The sequence below is a fragment of the Homo sapiens genome, chromosome 10 (genome assembly GCF_000001405.40).
Source record: "Homo sapiens chromosome 10, GRCh38.p14 Primary Assembly".
Classification (NCBI taxonomy): Eukaryota; Metazoa; Chordata; class Mammalia; order Primates; family Hominidae; genus Homo; species Homo sapiens.
Genome location: NC_000010.11, coordinates 72088973 through 72108790, shown reverse-complemented (window position 1 = coordinate 72108790; position 19818 = coordinate 72088973). Strand labels below are relative to the sequence as shown.

General features: G+C 42.3%; 2 protein-coding genes across 40 annotated transcripts in view; both read left to right on the top strand.

Moving 5' to 3' along the window:
* Nucleotides 1-12759, top strand: part of ASCC1 (activating signal cointegrator 1 complex subunit 1) — a 121103-nt gene extending 108344 nt beyond the window's left edge. For 17 of the 38 annotated variants that reach the window (NR_045564.1, XM_047425261.1, NM_001369099.1 and 14 more), the window contains one exon: nt 11341-12759. Coding sequence is in view for 37 of the 38 variants with exons in the window: in NM_001369099.1 (NP_001356028.1) it covers nt 11341-11457 (117 nt within the window). In the remaining variant the exon portion in view is untranslated. Of the gene's footprint in view, nt 1-5823; nt 5942-6378; nt 6458-11340 lie in introns of those variants that run through there. The other 21 variants (XM_047425257.1, NM_001369086.1, NM_001369103.1 and 18 more) reach the window with 4 other exon arrangements.
* The window catches only part of SPOCK2 (SPARC (osteonectin), cwcv and kazal like domains proteoglycan 2), a 29999-nt gene continuing 29939 nt past the window's right edge, over nt 19759-19818 (top strand). For both annotated transcript variants that reach the window (NM_014767.2, NM_001134434.1), the window contains exon 1: nt 19759-19800. The gene's annotated coding sequence lies outside the window, so the exon portion shown is untranslated. The remainder of the gene's footprint in view (nt 19801-19818) is intronic.

The window sequence follows — 19818 nt, the reverse complement described above, 5'->3', positions numbered from 1 at the left end:
GAGTGACAATAATAATCAGAGCTCAAAATTTCATCTTATAATTTATCTTTAACTGCAGAACATCTTTGTAAAGGATCATCCCTGTTTAAAGATGGAGAAATTGGGGGAGGGAGTGGGTCTGTAGTCATTGATAATGTCGACCAGCAATAATGGAAAGGATCAGAACTCAGTTTTTAAAAGTTTATTCAAGTGAAAAGCTGGGAATGGCCATTTGGGAAACAGGGACTTCACAGAAATGAGGTCAGTGCTTAAAGTTAAAAGTTAAGGTCCTGCTTATATAGGCAGAAAACAAATTTAGTAGGATTATAACATTTTCTATACAAGGTTGGTTTATGAGCTATAATTTAGTTAATTACAGTTTGTTTTCTTTTCTGTACAGCTTGTTTTCACTTCCTTTCCAACTTAGGAGTGTAGGACCTGGCATGGTGGCTCACGCCTGTAATCTCAGCAGTTTGGGAGGTGGAGGTAGGAGGATCACTTGAGCCCAGGAGTTTGAGACCAGCCTGGGCAACATGGAAAAACCCTGTCTCTATAAAAAATGCAAAAATTAGCCAGGCATGGTGGCATGCACCTGTAGTCTCAGCTACTCAGGAGACTGAGGAGGGAGGATCTCTTGCGCCTGGGAGGTGGAGGCTGCAGTGAGCTGTGATCACGCCACTGCACTCCAGCCTGGCTGACAGAGTAAGACCTTGTTTCAAAAAAAAAAAAAAAAAAGAAAAAGAAAAAGAAAAAGAAAGTATTTAACATACCATCCTAGATGATGTGATAGTCTTTTAAGTCTTTGTATGAGAAATGTAAGAGGGAAGTTTAATCAAAATGAAGATCAACAGTTAAAAGGGAAGGGATCTTCTCTGGCACTGTTTATTCATTTACAACCATTTACAAAACAGTGTAGGTGAGGAAAAAGGCTAATCTATAATCAGAAAAACAACAGTTACAGCTGCCCAGGTTACAGATACAAGTTTAAGTGACTCACATAATCACATTCCCTTAAGCCTTACAATATGTTAAGATTCCAACAGCTTAGATTTTGAATTACTTATTTTCACAATAGGAAAGCATTAAAAACGTCTAGTCTGCCCAAGAAACTTTTTGTGCCCTTTCTTCAGTAGAAAAGAAATATCAATTTTTTTGTACCTAGGTGAAGGTATGTGTGTCTGTGTGTAGAGGAGCATGACTTACCTTAGGGTAAACAGACTCAATTACATTCTTCTGTGATGATGTTTAGAAAGAATCCACTTGGGCACAGCCCATGTGAGTATTTTTAAAGTAGATGGAAGGTTTTTTTTGACCCCGGATGTGGTGGATCTCCATTTCCTTCTTGCCTCTTCCTACCTCCCACATTTGGTCTCCTCAGAAGTAATCTCACAGGTGGCCCAGAAGACAAATGCACGGTATTTGGCAGAAACTCAGAATTTTTTTTTTTTAGGTTTGAGGAATTTTAATAAACATAACTTTGAAACAAAATTTATTTTTTTGGGGGGGGGGTAACTTATTTGTGAACTTAATTCTTTTTGATGACTTAACTCCCAATAAAGTGATCTTAATTCTGAGTGAGATTAGTAACATGACATACGAAGAACCTTGATTTTTTTTTTTTCAAAATCGATTATATTTTTAGTCTGGTATTTGTATCTTTCTGTTTGCTCCCTGAAGTCATACTAGTCCTGTACCTACATGCCTCTTTTATGAGGAATGCATCTGAAATATACCATTATTTGTTTTGATGTTTTGCAATTGGGATCTTCCAAGGGCTGTGATGATAGCTTTTCACATCATTTGCTCCTCATTCTTTGCTATCTGGTTGTATATGCACAGCCTAAGGATGGACCTGCTTCCCCACTTGGCATTCTTTGGTACATATTTGTTATTGGAATTGAGAGGCCCATACACACTGCCTTGTGGACGTGGCCTTCCACTGGCCTGTATCCTAGGCCTCATCCCAGGAACTCTTAAATTTCTCTGACAGTATTAGTGGTCCTAGCTTGTCCCTGTTTCTTATATAAATGGGGATAATAATGCTCAGCTCTGGTTTATATCATAGCAATTTTTTTGGAGTTAATGAGCTGGGCTTTGTAAGACACTTTTAGATCCTTAGATGAAAGGTGTTATTTAACCACAGCAAGGCTTCATACTGGGAGTGCCTTCCCAAAGAGCTCAAAGTACTTGTCAGCCTGTCTTCTGTTCATACCATCCCTCATAGGGAGGTAGGTGGTTAAGTGTTATTATTAAGTACAAAATAGTGTTACTACTTTTATCTATAAACGGGATAATTGTGAGAAATAGAAGTTGGTAAACAGGCTGTGGAAGAAAAACACTGGGAAAACCTCAAAGTAGCATGCATTTGCTATTCCTATTCACTCTGCTTTGAGTTTCAAAAGTCTGATTGCCATACATGAGAACAATAGCATCCTTTCTTAGAGAGAAATATGACCTAGAACATCCTTCTAAATACTTGAATTAATTGAACCCCCTGTACTTACTTTCAGTTGCATCAGATTATATTCTAAAGGTTGGTTTATCTCATGTGTGTCAAGAATGATTATAAATAGCGTAAGACTTGAATATTTTGAATTTTCATTTTTAACTTCAAAACTGAATTTCTTCTTATTCAAGTAGTATTGAGACAGCAAATAGTTCACCGAGGCCACCAGCACAAGAAGTAGATTTTCTTAAAAGAGGGATCTTGGAAGAGAGTAACCACAGCTTTGTCTAAGATTGAAGAAAAGAGCGAGCCTCATTTGGGAAAGCCAAGTGAGCAGGGATCCCCAGCAGATTGTCACTGTGCTGTTGCGGACTGGCCATTTATTCGGTTCTATAGCCCGAGGTCACAGATATAAGAAAAGGCCCCTCTCCACCCTCCTCCCCACCTCTGTTTGAGATTGCCAGTTTCATTTTGGCAGCCTTGTTGCATTTGGAGTTATTTCTGGTCTTTGATGGCTGTGTCACAGGGCAATGGGGAAGGAGTAGAAGCTTTGAAACGAATGCAAGGAAAAATAACCACAGTGAGCCCTTAAATCTTGCTATTTGTTTTCTTTCAGTGTATACCACAACATTACCAGAAATCAATAATTCCCTTTGTGTTCTCCCTAGGAAAGAAACATGTACAAACTGAAAATGGTAGGCTTCACAGATCATGTGAGCAGGGGACAGCAGGATGGTTGGATTTTATCTTGCCATTGTTTGTCAGGGAAAACCTTGATTTTGACCAAAAACCTTTCATCAAAGGTCTACATTTCTCTCTTTACTTGGTGATAGGAAAAGTTTGTTTAATTTTCTAAAGATATTATTGATGCAGGATTTTTCTTGACCTCTTCGTCAGACTTGTGACGGGGGTGCCCCATTTATTTGGCTCTCTGTGCTCAACCCCTTGTGGGAGGGAGCACGTGAGCAAGTGAGTATGGGATCTGGCTGGCCATTTTGGGTGCTGGCAGAAGCAGGCTCTGTGTGGGCCCCGTGGCAGTGTCTAGGTGAGGGTGCCAGCGATCCCCAAAGCCCCAGAGGGCATGTTAGAATGTTCTCTTTGTCCCGCTGTCTGTGGACAGCAGCGTGTGATCAGCTCAGTGGTACCCTTGCCTCGTCATGTGGGGTGGCTGCCCTCTGCCACTGAGGGCAAAGGGCCAGTGTGACAGCCTTTTCTGGGTACCCGCACCCAATGGGTCCTGAACTCTTGTCTGGCATCCAAGAAGAATGAGGTTGCCCAGACACTTGAAGGATGTTGAAGGCAGAGAATTTTATTAAGTGATGGAAATGGCTCTCAGCAGACATGGGAGCTGGAGAAGGGACGGGATGGGCAAGTAATCTTACCCCAAAGTCTGCCTGTTTCTGGCTGGCTCTTCCCGGAAGTCAAGCCATCTCTCCTCTGGAGTCCAGCCATCCCTCTGAACTCAAGTCATAAGTCACCCCGCCCGGTGTGGTTTTAAATTTTCTTAAATCGTCCAAGTCAGTACTTATTATTTACTAATTATATCACAGCGATTGGCAGTTTTAATCCTATTTCCATTTCCTCATTAAATATTTGTAGTTTTGTGTACTGTTCGTTGTTATGTTCCTTTATAGCAGGTTTTAAAAAATACTGACTTCCATAACAACAGGGCTGTATGTGTGTGCGTGTCAGGGAAAATGTTTTCAGGTTTCAAAATCCCCAAGGGAATTGTTATAAAACAACAGTGAGGAGAAAAAATTCAACATGATTCAGACACCTTAACTAGATTCTTTTTTAATTTAAATTTTTCCTGTTAGGTCTGTTACTTTCTAAACAATACAACACTTTGTTCTTCATGTTTAGTTCAGGTTCAAAAGAGCAACCAAGTTTCTTTTTTTTAAACTTGTAGTTTAAGCTTTTTCATCTTTCCCCATTCAAATACCAAATTAAATATAGCCTTTTAGTTGACTCGTGCTTATTTTCATCCAGAATTCAATTAAAATGCTTCCAGCTGAGCTAGAGCCATCCGATTCTTAAACCAGGTCCAGGAAAAGCAGTGGCAGTGAATATAGGAACAGCAAGTGAAAGAACATGTTCATTTCAGTCTTTGGGAGTTGTCTGGGTCAGCGTTCCTCACTGTGGCTATTTAATGGGGCTGTGTTTCAAGGGGAGCCACTCACATTAAGGGGCAATAGAGTACAGGAATCAACGGGCTCAGACTCTAGAGTGAGGCTGTCTGGGTGTGAATCTCAGTTTTTTGCCTTTATTTTGTAGGAGAGGAAAGATTTCTTCTCTCACCCATCACTAGGTTCATGGCTGAGGCCCCTGTAACAAAAGTCAGATTAATAAGAGAAAAACATACAAATTTATTTAATACAAGCTTTACATGACACGGGAGCCTTCAGAATAAAGATCCAAAGGAAGTGGTAACTTGTGTATTTTTATAAGTAGGTTTGATAAAGGTTTTGTAAGTAGGTTTGATTTTTATAAGTAAGTTTGACTGTCATGGAGAAGTATGGTTGGAGGACAAAGGGTGTGGCCTAATGGTAATAAACTGAGGGGAGGCTTAGCAAGGCCTGTTTGTTCGGATTCTTTTCTATGCTCTATGTCTTCACAGATAAGGATATTCCTTTCCTCTGGGCAAAGGGAGGGTATCTGTCGAATGAGGGTCTTATGACCTGCTTCAGGGGAGAAGAGCAGGAGGTCACAGGACGGCCTTCATAGGTCTTCATAGGTTTTATCGTCTGCTTCAGGGAAGAGGGGCTGTGGAAGGTGAGAGAGACTTTCCTGCTTCTGCTGTTTGCTCAAATGCCAAGGTGCCACATTTTGAGAAGTCCTGAACACCATCAACTTCGTGTGTGTCTTTAGGCAAATTACTTAAGCCATCTAAACCTAAGGCTCATCTGTAAATGGGGATTAATCATAGGATCTATTGGCCGGGCGCGGTGGCTCACGCCTGTAATCCCAGCACTTTGGGAGGCTGAGGCGGGTGGATCACGAGGTCAGGAGATCGAGACCATCTTGGCTAACACGGTGAAACCCCATCTCTACTAAAAATACAAAAAATTAGCCGGGTGCGGTGGCAGGCGCCTGTAGTCCCAGCTACTCGGGAGGCTGAGGCAGGAGAATGGCATGAACCCGGGAGGTGGAGCTTGCAGTGAGCTGAGATCGCGCCACTGCACTCCAGCCTGGGCGACAGAGCAAGACTCTGTCTCAAAAAAAAAAGGAAAAAAAAACATAGTATCTATTTCGTGGGGTTGTGAGGACGCAATAAGATAATTCCTGGCACATGTGTTTACTTAATAAATGTTGGCTGTTGTCATCTTTATTACTGTTGTTGTCAATACCTACATATTTCTAGTTCACTTTGATCTTTTTTTTGTTTTGTTTTGAGACAGAGCTTTGCCTTGTTGCCCAGGCTGGAGTACAATGATGCAATCTCCGCTCACTGCAACCTGTGCCTCCCGGGTTCAAGTGATTCTCCTGCCTCAGCCTCCCAAGTAGCTGGGATTACAGGTGACCGCCACCATGCCTGGCTAATTTTTGTATTTTTAGTAGAGATGGGGTTTCACCATGTTGGCCAGGCTGGTCTTGAGCTCCTGACCTCAGATGATCTGCCTGCCTTAGCCTCCCAAAGTGTTGGGATTACAGGTGTGAGCCACCACATCCGGCCAATCTTTTAATGTATAATTATTGGCATTAGGTAACTTTGTTTTTAAAATCTCCTGTTATGATAATTGTGAGTTCATAAAAATTAAAGTTGACATGGTAAATACCATTATAAGCAGAGTCAAAAGACAAGTGACAAACTAGAGGAAATACATGTATTTGCAACTTGTAACATAGACAAAAAAGGTTCATTTCCCTAGTATAAAAAGAACTACAACTCAATAAAAGGAGGGACGCTCATAAAGCCTTTTATAGTGATCTGTTTCCACTTAACTGTGCTACAGGTGTCTCTGATGCATATTCTCAGAGCCTACCAGGAAAATCCTAGAATCGAGAAGGGCTTGGGACACAGAGAGCTAGTGGGTAAGATACAGCCGTGAGTGTGTAAACACACCTGAACTTGTTGTTTTCCCCATGAAGTAGCTCCCTTTCAAAAATGTTCTGTTACTGTCAATGGCAGCCTCATATACACCCATTGGACCCATCATCACTGATTTTTCCATCTCCTTCTCATCTAGAAAGTCACCAAGGCGTTTCTATGTTTCTTTTGTAATTTTTATTTTAGGTTTGGGGGTACATGTGAAGGTTTGTTACACAGGTAAACATGTGTCACGGGGGTTTGTTGCACAGATTATTACATCACTCAGGTATTAAGCTCAGTACCCAGTAGTTACCTTTTCTGCTTCTCTCCCTCCTCCCTCCCTCCACCCTCAAGGAGGCCCCAGTGTCTGTTGTTTCCTTCTTTGTGTTTATAAGTTCTCATCATTTAGCTCCGGTCTGTGTTTCATTTATAGTTTCATTCATGGCTTCATTCATTCATTCACATCTGCTCCAGTCTTTCCAAGCCCACTGCCTGTTTGTAGTTGAGACACTCAACATCACCCTCATGACTGAACTACTACCATGGTCTCCTTTTTTTTCTTTATCTTGTTCCCTTCTCCAGTCAGCACAATACATCATACCCAGGTTAATCTCCCTAAAACATGGTTTTCATCTTGGGCCACCAACCTACCCTAAAGCCTTCAGTGGTTCCCCACCATGTAGGATGAAGTATAACTTGTGAACTTGAGCCTCAGGTCCCCCAGACACCCTTAATCTGATTCTCCTTCCTTCTGTCTTTCTCACTGCTTCACTCTAGGAACCTTCCAAACATCTAAACTGTTTGCCTGGCCCAGCCCACCATGCCCATTTCTGCCTTCATGCTGCCCTCCCTCCTCTGTGTTACGCCCTATACCTGCCACAAGGCCCAGCTCAGGTCTCGTCTCCTCCAGATGGCTTTCCTAGGTCCGCAGCCCTCAGCATCCCTTGTTTCCTTACCTCCTGCTGCATTTATTGATGGCCTGTACCTCTCATCTCACGCACTTAACCTTTACTACCTATATTGTTTTAGGTAAGCTTTTTTCATTAAAGTAGAACATACATACAGAAAGCTACACAGATCACAGAGTAAAGGACTCAGTGACTTTTCATAAGATGGACACACCCAGGTCATCAGCATTTCCCTCTTCTGATATGCACTCTCCCTAACGAGATGGTAAGCACTTGGGAGACAGAACTACTTTCATGTGCCTCTTTGCATGAAAATGCATAACATCAGGTGCTCAGCAATATTCCAGATCAGGAACTGAAGCTAAGAAAGAGATCCAGGTTTTCACAAATAAGAAACATGTAGAAATGTCCCCCGCCTCCTTGATTTGAAGTAATATAATTTGGCAAGTCCTGTTCAGAAATTCCTTGGTGGGAACTGATACATTAGACCTTTAAATTCAGTCTAGACAAGTGCATGTCATAGTTTTCTCTTTCCAGACTTGGGGATGTACATGGACATCTACAGCATTAGTTTTCATTGTCATTTTGTCCAGCAGATATTTATCGATCAGATGCAGTCTACTAGATAATGTTACAGTACAGTAGGATCCAGCTTCTTCCTCTGTAGGGCTTATATTTTAGTGAGTCATTAGAAATAATTGATAGAACTAAAAGACTTAAGAATAAAGATACATTGGCGGGACACAGTGTCTCATGCCTATAATCCCAGCACTTTGGGAGGCCAAGGCAGGAGGATCACTTGAGCCCAGGAGTTCAAGACCAGCTTGGGCAACCTAGCAAGACCCTGTCTCTATTAAGAAAATAAATAAAAAGGAAAAAAACAAAGAATAAAGATATAATAGGCTGGGCATGGTGGCTCATGCCTGTAATCCCAGCACTTTGAGAGGCCAAGGCAGGCGGACCACCTGAGGTCAGGAGTTCAAGACCAGCCTGGCCAACATGGAGAAACCCCGTCTCTACTGAAAAATACAGAAATTATCTGGGTGTGGTGGTGTATGCCTGTAATCCCAGCTACTCAGGAGGCTGAGGGAGAATAGCTTGAACCCGGGAGGCAGAGGTTGTGGTGAGCTGAGATCGCGCCACTGCACTCCAGCCGGGGTGACAGAGAGAGAGAGAGTCCGTCTAAAAAAAAAAAAAAGATATAACAATAACTAAGCAGTAAGATAACTGAAAAATTGCTAGTAAATTATCTGTTACTAAATCATAAACATAGAGGACAAGAACAGAGGTAGGAAGGGTGACATGAAGATTGGCACTGGCACTAGGGACGTCTGGATGAGAAATCCATTTGTTGTGATATTATCAAAAGGTATGAAAGAACATGGCGACTTACAAAGGTAAAATAAATACAAGGGTGATGATGGCAGAGAGATATTTAAAAACATCATAAGAAATACCATACGGAAATACCATATTGCTACGGAAATACTAATTTTCCATAGCACTTTACAGTTTACAAGATATTTTTTATTTTTTTTAAACCCTGCTCAGTGAGCACACAAGGTACTTGTACTAGCTTTTTTTTTGGTTTATTTGTTTGTTTGTTTGAGACAGAGTTTCTCTCTTGTTGCCCTGGCTGAAATGCAGTGATGCAATCTCGGCTCACCGCAACCTCCGCCTCCCAGGTTCAAGCGATTCTCCTCCCTCAGTCTCCCGGGTAGCTGCGATTACAGGCATGCGCTGCCACGCCTGGCTAATTTTGTATTTTTAGTAGAGACGGGGTTTCTCCATGTAGGGCAGGCTGGTCTCGAACTCCCAACCTCAGGTGATCCCGCTGCCTCAGCCTCTCAAAGTGCTGGGATTACAGGCATGAGTCACCGCGCCTGGCCTTGTACTTGCTCTTATGAGGTCTTTGCCCATTATGATCTTGTGCCCCTGTTGTGGTTGGTACAGTGGGTGGTGCCTTCTGTCCACAGTCACACAGCTTACATGTCTGGGCATACGTTTAGAATCCAGCACTCTTTCCACAGCCTGCTCTTGCCTTAGTGGATGTGAGAATTTATGTTTAGTTATCTCTCTCAATTCTTCTGTTATTGCATTGCAGTCACATCCCAGCTAACTTCATGATTGCTACATTTGCTATTTCCTTAAACCTGGAGTAGGAGAATATCCCTGGCAGATTCATGCTGTCTGTAGGCCATCTGCATAAGGTGAAGTGAAGTCATGGGTCGGTCACTTGCAGCTTCTCACTGTGGCCTCCCCACTACTTGAAAACATGGGCACAAAGAGAAGAAGGTAGCACTCACAGGCTGCCAATCCTTAAAAAGTAACTTGTTGAAAGTATTATGAGTTTCCTTTTAGTTTTCTTTTGTATTGTCTTTTATTGCTTCTTTGGTTATAGCTTTTCTGTACCTAGAAGGCTTCAGTTTGCAGAGCTATAAATCTGTCAGTCTTAGTGACGTGTCTTTCACTTCAAATTAGTGTTCAGCAAAGGGATTAGCAGATAACCATTTCAGGCTGAATTTCTTTACATAAAAGGGTGGATATGGTTTAAGCAGGCTGCCAAAGCCAGGAAGAGAAGTTAATTGTGTAAATCAATGCAGGCAGGAGCTGATCACCTTTCTGAAACACAAGACAATGCAGCATACAACCTCTAAATAGATCTTTGGGGTCAAGTTGATGTCATGTTGAAGAATCAATATTTACTGGGCTTTATAAAGTTAGCCTTTAATGAACCCTCAGGCATTTTGCTAGGCCATTAATTGCAGGAAGAGGAAAAGCAATGGTGGCCAAGGTCCATGTTTGTGGAGGTTGTATAAAAATAAGTGAAAAGACAGTCACTTGTCCATGTGCAAAGGTCCCCTCAGGCATCGTTGGGGACATGTGTCACAAGCCTTTCTTGGGGCCAGGTATGGTGGCTAATGCCTGTAATCTCCGTGCTTTGGGAGGCTGAGATGGGAGGATTGCCTGAGTTTAGGAGTTGAGGCCATGATTGCACTACTGCAATCCAAGGCACTCCAGCCTGGGCAACAAAGCGAGAGACCCTATCTCTAAAAAACAACCAAGGCTTTCTTGGGATTGTACTGACATTTTAAGAAAGAGCAATTCCTACATCCTAACAGAGGAAGGTACGCTCTTTACTCTTTGACGCTCCTTATTCAGGCACTATGGCTGCATTTTCCTGGGATGAATTCTGATGTCATTTTGGGTCCTGCCTTATAAATGTGGTAATCACAAAGTCCAGTCCCTCTTGGAGTATGTATGGTTCATCCCTCACTCTGACACACTTTTGAAAGCTTTTGTAAAGTACAGGATCATAGCAAAAAGTATTTATTTTAGGTCGCTGGCTTGAATCCAAGTCTAATAAAGGTATTTGATAAGTAATCACTTGTACTTGTTCTGTTGGCAGTAGAAGTGTCCCTTGGGTTGTTCTGTGTGTGTGTGCATGCTCTGTGTCCCTCAGTGGTTTGTCTGAATCACTTGTGAGTCAGGAGCCTTATCTTCTATTTATTTTAGTCAGCGCTCCTAACAAATGGCGTTGATTAGATATATGTTACGTCAAATTTAACCCTGGTGCAACAAAGCCGAGATCCCTGCATGGTCAGTCACTGGAAGTCAGAAGCAGCCTGGTCAGACTCTGTGAGTCAGGGTGTGGCCATGGGGCGTTTGCTATAAGTTCTTGGTCATATCTGGTCAGTAGATGAATTTCGGATTTGACTTTTCAGAACCTCTTTCTCTGGTGCATTTGTCAGGGGAGACTTTAGAATTAATCAGAGAGAAGAGCTGGCTGTTCTTTTCTCACTCCCACCCCCATCCCTCCTCTCCTGGATCATTATTCAGAGTAAACACTGAAAAGAAAAAGCATGAGAGATTTGTTGGGATTGTTGTGGTTTGGTGTTTTTACAAGATAATCTGATGTTTAATATTTTCATCTATACTTTAAATATTCATTCTGGGTTTTTATTCTTCCTTTTCAGTTGTTTGAGAACTTCTACTTTGGCTCCCTAAAGCTGAATTCAATTCACATCTCTCAGAGGTTCACCGTAGACAGCTTTGGAAACTACGCTTCCTGTGGACAAATTGACTTCTCCTGAGGTGGATCTTGGAAAGCACTAGAAACTAAACATCTTCACCAGGTGCTGAAGAAAAGTGTCTTCGTTTTAATTGCCAAGCAGGGATGTGGACATTTGGATGGTGACTTTCCTGGGTGGTTCCCCATAGATTCACCATTGCCTCTAATGGTGTCTACACCCGTCATACTACCAGCTGAGATGGTGGTGGGCATAAGGAGAATTTGTGCCTATAACCCTTAGTGTGTTCTGGTTTTTTTTCTTTTAATTTTTAAATTGTCGTAAAATACTCATAAAACATACTGTCTTCACCATTTTTAAGTGCACAGTTCAGTAACGTTAACTGTTAATACATTCATAATGCTGTGTGGCCGTCACCGCCGTCCATCTCCATAGGCTTCTCAGCTTGTAAAATGGAAACTGTACCCATTAAACAGTAATTCCCACTCCTCCCAGCCCCCGCAGCCACCATTCTGCTTTCTGTCTCTCTGGTTTTGACTATTCTCAGTATCTCATATAAGTGGAATCATACAGTGACTTGTCTTTTTGTGACTGGCTTATTTCACTTAGCATAATGTCCTCAAGGTTCATCCATGTTGTGTCAGGTGACAGGATTTCCTTCCTGTATTATACATATAATGGAATGTTCCGTTACATGTGCGTACCACACTCTGTTCCTCCATCAGTGAACACTTGGCTTGCTTCCTCTTGACTATTGGGAGTAGTGCTAATACAGACACGGGGGTGCAAATATCTCTTTGAGACTCTGCCTTTAATTCCTTTACCACCCAGAGTTTTATCTTTAGCAAAATAACCATTAAAGTTGTTTGCCTTTTACTTTGCTTGGTCTATCATTTTCCTACCAAAGTTTGTCCTCTTAATATTTGTTGGATTCCTGTTCCTTCACCCCATCCCCACCCTCATCTTCCCATGCCCCTGATGGAGTTGCAGTGTTGCAGCCCTTTTTTGTTTACTTTTCAAGGCAGCAGCAAAAGAAACTGATGATATCAGCAGGACTGTGCAGAGTTCCCTGGAAGAATGTCAGCCACAGGAGGCCCTCACTCCTCCCTCACCACGGACCAGCAGAGGGAGGCGGGAATGCTGGGGAGCCCCAGCCTCCCACCCCTGCCTCCTCACATTCTTCCTCCCTCCATGTCCTCTCCTTCTTCTCCTTCCTTATTCTTGCCTTGATTCTTTCTCTCTTTATATTCTTTAACTGCACTTCTGAACTCTGTGTTAAGTTGCTACATTGTGAGGACTGTGTCTAACAGTGAGATTTATTATTGGGACTGCACAAATCACTTGTGAATAAAATGTTTAACGGTGTTTCTGTTAGTATGATCACATAGTTCACATAGTTTGAATTTGACCCCTTCCTGTGTTGGGATACAATGTTGCCCTCACTTATTTACCAGCATAGCTGGATCATTCATGGAGGACTTACATATTAGTACCTGCAAGGTTGATTTTTTTTTTTTTTTTTTTTTTGAGACGGAGTCTCGCTCTGTCGCCCAGGCTGGAGTACGGTGGCACGATCTCGGCTCACTGCAAGCTCCGCCTCCTGGGTTCACACCATTCTCCTGCCTCAGCCTCCTGAGTAGCTGGGACTACAGGCGCCCGCCACTGCACCCGGCTAATTTTTTTTTTTTTTGTATTTTTAGTAGAGACGGGGCTTCACCTTGTTAGTCAGGATGGTCTCAATCTCCTGACCTCGTGATCTGCCCGTCTCAGCCTCCCAAAGTACTGGGATTGCAGGCGTGAGCCACCGTGCCTGGCCGCAAGGTTGATTTTTTTCCCAGAAGGCCTCCTCTTTCTACGGATATTCATTTTCTATACAAATTGAGATTTTACTTCACCTCAGATTGTTGTTAGGTGGCACTTGGGAATGAGTGCTCCAGGGACAGTGCTGAATTCTGAAGCTGACTATGGAGTTAATGCCCCATCTCATCTTGATGTGCCTCTCTCTCGGTTTCTTTCTGACAAGCCATTGGGCAACCTCAGCCAGGAAGTAAATGTCACTTCTTTTGAGTTTCTGAGACTTATGACTTAACATTTGTAGGAAACTTTTTTTTCTAAGTTTTTTGTCTTTGGAAAATTTAGCTTTATATATTGAATACCAAATTCTTTTTTTTTTTTTTTTTTTTTTGAGACAGGGTCTCACTCTGTCACCCAGTCTGGAGTGCAGTGGCGCAATCATGGCTCACTGCAGCCTTGACCTCTTGGGCTCAAGCTATCCTCCCACCTCAGCCTACCGAGCAGCTGGGACTACAGGCGTGCACCACCATGCCTGGCTACTTTTTATAAAAAAATTTTTTGTAGAGATGGGGTCTCACTGTGTTGCCCAGGCCGATCTCGAACTCCTGGGCTCAAGACATCTTCCTGCCTTGGCCTCCCAAAGTGTTAGGATTACTGCTGTGAGCCACCACACTGGGCCCAAATACCAAATTCTAAATAGAATTGGAAATTGTGTTATTGAGGATTTAGTGATTACTCTTCCCTATGTCTTGTTAAGTAATTCTTCTCAAGTTGTTTGCCTTTTTCCCTCTGTTTCTCTCACCAGTTATACAGTGGGGTTTTCCAGAGGCTCTATGACGCGACAGCATCATCACTCTGGTGGTTAATGGAATGTGTGTTTGTGTATTTCTGAGTTCTCTAGAGTTTTGTAAGTTGGTAGGTATTGGTAGAATTGGAAAATTTTTAACATTTAAATTTTAAAAAATTCCTTTTTTTTCACATGCTGTGGTAGGCAGAGATAAAATATTCTCTCATGAAGTCTGTATTCCAATTTTGGGGACAGTATAGCTCTAAGGAAATACAGTTTTCAGTGCTGTTGTGGAAGAGGGAGTAACAGTTTTGATGTAGAACTTTTATGAAAAAGCAAAATGGTAGAGAGCAACAACAGTAAAAGGGTTAGAGTTAAGGTTCCCCTCTCACCAAATGATAATGGGGTAAATGTTGGAGGATTTGCTGCTGCTGTGCTTACAATCAAACCTTCCTTCATATTACTGTTTTGTAATTCATTCTACACTGAAATAGTTCATTGTACCTAACACTGCTCCAGCCAGCTTTTGAGGCACTGACTTCACCCTCAATTTCTCTTAAGAGGAAGAGGGAAAAAAATCTCTCACTCGCTACTTCACAGAATCTGTGTTGTTATACATGGAACTTTGTTATGGAGAGTAATTTTTATTTTAGACACATTGTAAATGTTTCTTACAATGATTATTTTTAAAGCAAGCTCTAGAGTTTCCAAAACTGGGCATTGAGTAGAATCCAGCATCGTAATAATTCAGATTTGGTTCCTGTTTGCCCTTGTACTGTGCTGGAGCTCACTGTCCTGGAGCTCAAGGGAACCCACTGGCACTAGAGGTGTATTGAGTTGAGTCAATGGAACACCTGTCAGCTTCCATCTCGATACCATAGGGAGCATGAATGTTCAAGCTCTTGCTGCTAGAAGTGATGAAAGTGGCTGCCGTTATGGTTTTTATTAATAGCTTTTTTTTTTTGTAAAATGTCCTTTTAAATGAAGACAAGTTTACTTTATGAAAAATAATCAAGTTTATGCTTTGTGCTTTTGTCACTGTGTGTTATACTTCAATTTAAATCGGAGGCTGAAACCAGAGGTTCGCTTGAGGCCGGGAGTCCAAGACCAGCATCGGCAAACTAGTAAGACCCCATCTCTACAAAAATAAATAAATAAATAAATAAATAAATAAATAAATAATAAATGAAAATAAATGTTAGCTTCCAGAGGTAACTACTCCCTATACATTTAGACATATATAAAATATGAGAAGTTAAGAAATTTTTCACAAATAATAGCTAATGTTAGTGGAGTGTTCACATTTGTTATTTTTTTGTGCATTAATTCAATCTTTACAATAGCCCACTTAAGTAGGTAATATTGTCCCCATTTTACAAACTGAGGCTTAACAAGGTTAAGAAATTTTCCTTAAAGTTGGGGGCAGTGGCTCACACCTGTAATCCTAGCACTTTGGGAGGCAAGAGGATTGCTTAAGCCCAGGAGTTCAAGACCAGACTGGGCAACATGGTGAGACACTGTCTCTACCAAAATAAAAGCACAAAAGAAAATTAGCCAGGCATAGTGGCATGCGACTGTAGTCCCAGCTACTTCAGAGGCTGAGGTGGGATCAATTGAGCCCAGGAGGGCAAGCCTGTAGTGAGCCATGATTACATCACTGCACTCTAGCCTGGGTGACAGTGAGTGAAACCCTGTCTCAAAAAAAAAAGGAAAAAAAAAATTGCCTTAAGTCATATAGATTGTACCAGCAGCTCTCACAGTGTGGACTTTGGACTTCTAGGAGTCCCCAGGAACCTTTTAGGGGATGCCTACGAGGAGGTCCAAACTGTTTTCATAAGAACGCTAAGGTGCTATGTGCCTTTTTAACTCATTCTCTCACGAGTGTTCAGTGGAGTTTTCCAGAGGCTCTGTGACATGGTGACATCACTCTGATAATTAGTAGAATGTGTGTGTGTGTACTTTTGTTTTCTAGAATATTGTAAATTGATAGATTTAGGGTATAAATATATGTGTTTTCAGAGATTAACTCAGTTTGCTGCCAGTGCTTCTACTGTGCTCTTACTGGCTATTTTCATTTATACCTGCTGCTGAGTCATGACCACCCAAAATCTACATGTTGAAGCTCTAACTCCCAGTAACTCAGAATGTGACTGTTTATTTGGGGATTGGGCTTTTAGTGGGGTGATTAGGTTAAAGTGAGGCTGTTAGGGTCGGCCCTAATGCAATCTGTCTGGTGTCTTTATAAGAAGAGGGAATTTGGACACACAGAGACACCAGACTAGTGTGTGCACAGAGGAAACGAAGACACAGCAAGAAGGCGGCCACCCTGCAGGCCATGAAGAGAGGGCTCAGGAGAAACCAGACCCACCAACAGTTTGATCTTGAACTCTGAGCCTCCAGAACTGTGAGAAAATAATCGTCTGTTGTTGAAGCCACCCAGTCTGTGGTACTTTGTTACGGCAGCCCCAGCAATGGATACACGTGCTGTAATGCAGAAGCTTATGCCAGACTCTGTCTTCTTCTGACCAGACACTAAAGAGATTTGTAAAACTGTAAAACAGTGCCACTCTCTTACTAATTTGGGGGAGCGGTAGAGACGGTTGTTTTTCATAAAATATTCTGTTAATATGAAATGGGTACATTTATTATTTTAAAATAAATTTAAATTCTTAATTTGATTTTCAAATACAGTAAATATCACTATATATATAACTCACAGAAACAAAAGTTCTTTGGGGTCCTCAATAATTTTTTAGTGTTAAGGGCTCCTGACGCCAGAAAGTTTGAGAATGGCTATACTATACTATACTTCCAAATGGGATCCTATTATATATGATCTTATATAACGAGCTTTTCTCACCCAGCAATACATAGTGGATCACATTGGTCTTTAATAGATACAGATCTACATCATTATTTGTAATGTCTGCACAATAGTCTGTTACAGGTATGTTTTATCCTTTAATTAGGTGGTTCCTGGCTAATGGACATTGAATTGGTTTCCAGGATGGGCTATTATGAACAATTCTGGATCTTTGTGTGTTTATCTTTTTGTGCTTGTGGGGTCATCTAGAAATGGAATTAAATGGATTTTAAGATACATTCAGGCCAGGCACGGTGGCTCATGCTGGTAATTCCAGCACTTTGGGAGGCCAATGCGGATGGATCACATGAGATCAGTTTGAGACCAGCCAGACCAACATGGAGAAACCCCATCTCTACTAAAAATACAAAATTAGCCGGGTGTGTTGGTGCGTTCCTGTAATCCCAGCTACTCGGGAGGCTGAGGCAGGAGATTTGCTTTTGAACCTGGGAGGCAGAGGTTGCAGTAAGCTGAGATCGCGCCATTGCACTCCAGCCTGGGCAAGAGCGAAACTCGATGTATTCAATTTGGGTTTCTTATGAGGAAACTAAGGTTTCTCTTCTCCATTTTAGAATTGCTAAATATTAAGTGCAAACAGAAAAATGTGTAAAATATATGTACCACTTAATACATATACCTAGCAGCAGCTCCTCATGTTTGGGGCTATTGTCTTGAAAAGGCTAACCTGCCAGTAATTCTTTCAAACATGAGGAAAACCAAGCTGGGTGTGGTGGCTTATGCTTGTAATCCCAGCACTTTGGGAGGCTGAGGAGGGAGGATCACCTGAAGCCAGGAGTTCAAGACCAGCTTGGCCAACATGGTGAAACCCCATTTCTACTAAAAATACAAAAATTAGCTGAGCATGGGGACGGGCACCTGTAATCCCAGGTACTCGGGAGGCTGAGGCAGGAGAATCCCTTAAACTTGGGAGGCGGAGGTTGCAATGAGCCGAGATCGCACCACTGCTCTCCAGCCTGGGCGACAGAGTGAGACTCCATCTCAAAAAAAAAAAAAAAAAAAATTGAAAAACCTTTTCTTTTTCTTCTTTTCTGTTTTCTTTTGAGAAAGAGTCTCGCTCTGTTTCTCCAGCTGGAGTGCAGTGGCACGATGCTAGCCCAGTGTAGCCTTAATTCCGAGGCTCAAGCAGTCCTCTCACCTCAGCCTCCGAGTAGCTGGGACCACAGGCATGTGCAACGTGGCTCATTTTTTAAATTTTGTATAGAGATAGGGTCTCGCTATGTTGCCCACGATGGTCTGGAACTCCTAGGCTCAAGCCATCCTCCTGCCTCTTGGCCTCCTAAAGTGCTGGGATTACAGGTGTGAGTCAGCACACCTGGCCCTTTTTTTCTTCTTTGTAAACTAAAACTATTGGCCATTTCCTACAAGTTTTACACCAGTCATCTGGAAATTTGGGTTCTTCTTCCTAAATAGCATTACTATTGGCTTCACTAATGGGACTGGAATGTTGTTGATTAGCTTTCGACACAGGACTAGTATTGACCCAGCTTGAAGGTGCTACAGAAGGCAAGTCCCACTGGAGAAGCTACCTGGGACTGTGGGAGCCATTTTGACCCTCAGAGTCTGGAGACAGCTATTGTCATATTGATGGGCATCTTGACAGCACCTTTCCAAACTCTTTATTCAGCAACTTTGGTAACTCTGGAAGCCCCTAAGATAGCACAGGAATGGGAGAGCTGTGGTATCTGGTACCTATCTCCTAAGTGCCTTAGAGATATATAGCTAGCTTTGCTAAAAACGAAAACAGAAACAAAAAAAAAAAAAACAACAAAAAACTAGGATTGTAGGATTGAGATGGTGGAAAAGATGGCAAATTTTGATGAATCTTCAGAACTATGGGACACCGTAGCCTTCTCTTCCCAACCAGAGGAAAGACTAACTTTTTAAAAAAATGCCCATTATGCCCACTTAGTATGTAATTTTGCTTGCACTTTACAGCAGTTTTAATGATGGTATTACCATTAGTTTTAGATAGAAAATAGGTAATTGCTCAAGAATCCAGCCAGTAAGTGGGATTCTGTCCTCTAGTCTCCACGACAGCAAGCCGTGCTCTCTCACTGTACAGCGCCAGGACACACCCAGGAAGAATGCTTTATTACTGTGAGATGAAGACGTCAATGGCCAGGGCCTCACTGCAGCACCACCACTAAATCCAACAGCAAAGGAAACAAGAAAACATGGAAAGGGAGCTATTGTTTTCTGTTTTCCCAACGAGACTCCGGCCTGAGCCACTGAGGCATTCAGAGTTCCCAGATAGGCCAGATTCAGGGTGACAAGGAACCTTGTAAGCTATGTTTTTTCCTACTGATTAAGATTATGTTTTTTAAAGCATTTTAAATTTTTATTTTATTTTTAGATCACAGCAGCTAAGTCTTTTTATAAAAACACAATCTAGGGCTTGGGTCCCAAAAGTTCACTAGGTTTTGTCCCATCAGATGATGTTTCCTCTTTAATGTATTTGTAATGTAAACCTGTCCCCATTTCTGCTGTGCTCTTGGGACTGTGGCCAGCCTCCAGCCTTCCCCGCTGGTATGTCAACATTTAAATCTACAGCCAATAAGGAGGGTCGCAGTTTCAACAAAACCCGAAACACCTCAAACAAAACCAGCACCCCACCCCAGCCCCCCACTCCCCGGCTTCCCCAGTGGCTTATTCAAACTAACTTGAAGTCAAAAAACCATAAGCAAATATGCCTTTTCCAAATTTGCAGCCTCCAAGGCAGATGAAATGGTCAGACATTTGCCTTTTAGGGTTGTCCTGGGAAGAGCTGACAAAACGGGTGACAGCCCCTAAACAGCTGCCTGGGGAGGAGGACATCTGCCTCTGTTTCACCAGCCACTCAGTGCTCAGGCCTTGCCTTGCGCAACGCGGTGCCGCTGGGGAGCAATGGTTCTGAGCAGCCAGTTGTTATACGGCTTTTGTCTTAACGAAGCCACCCATTACGGTAGAGCCATAACTCGCA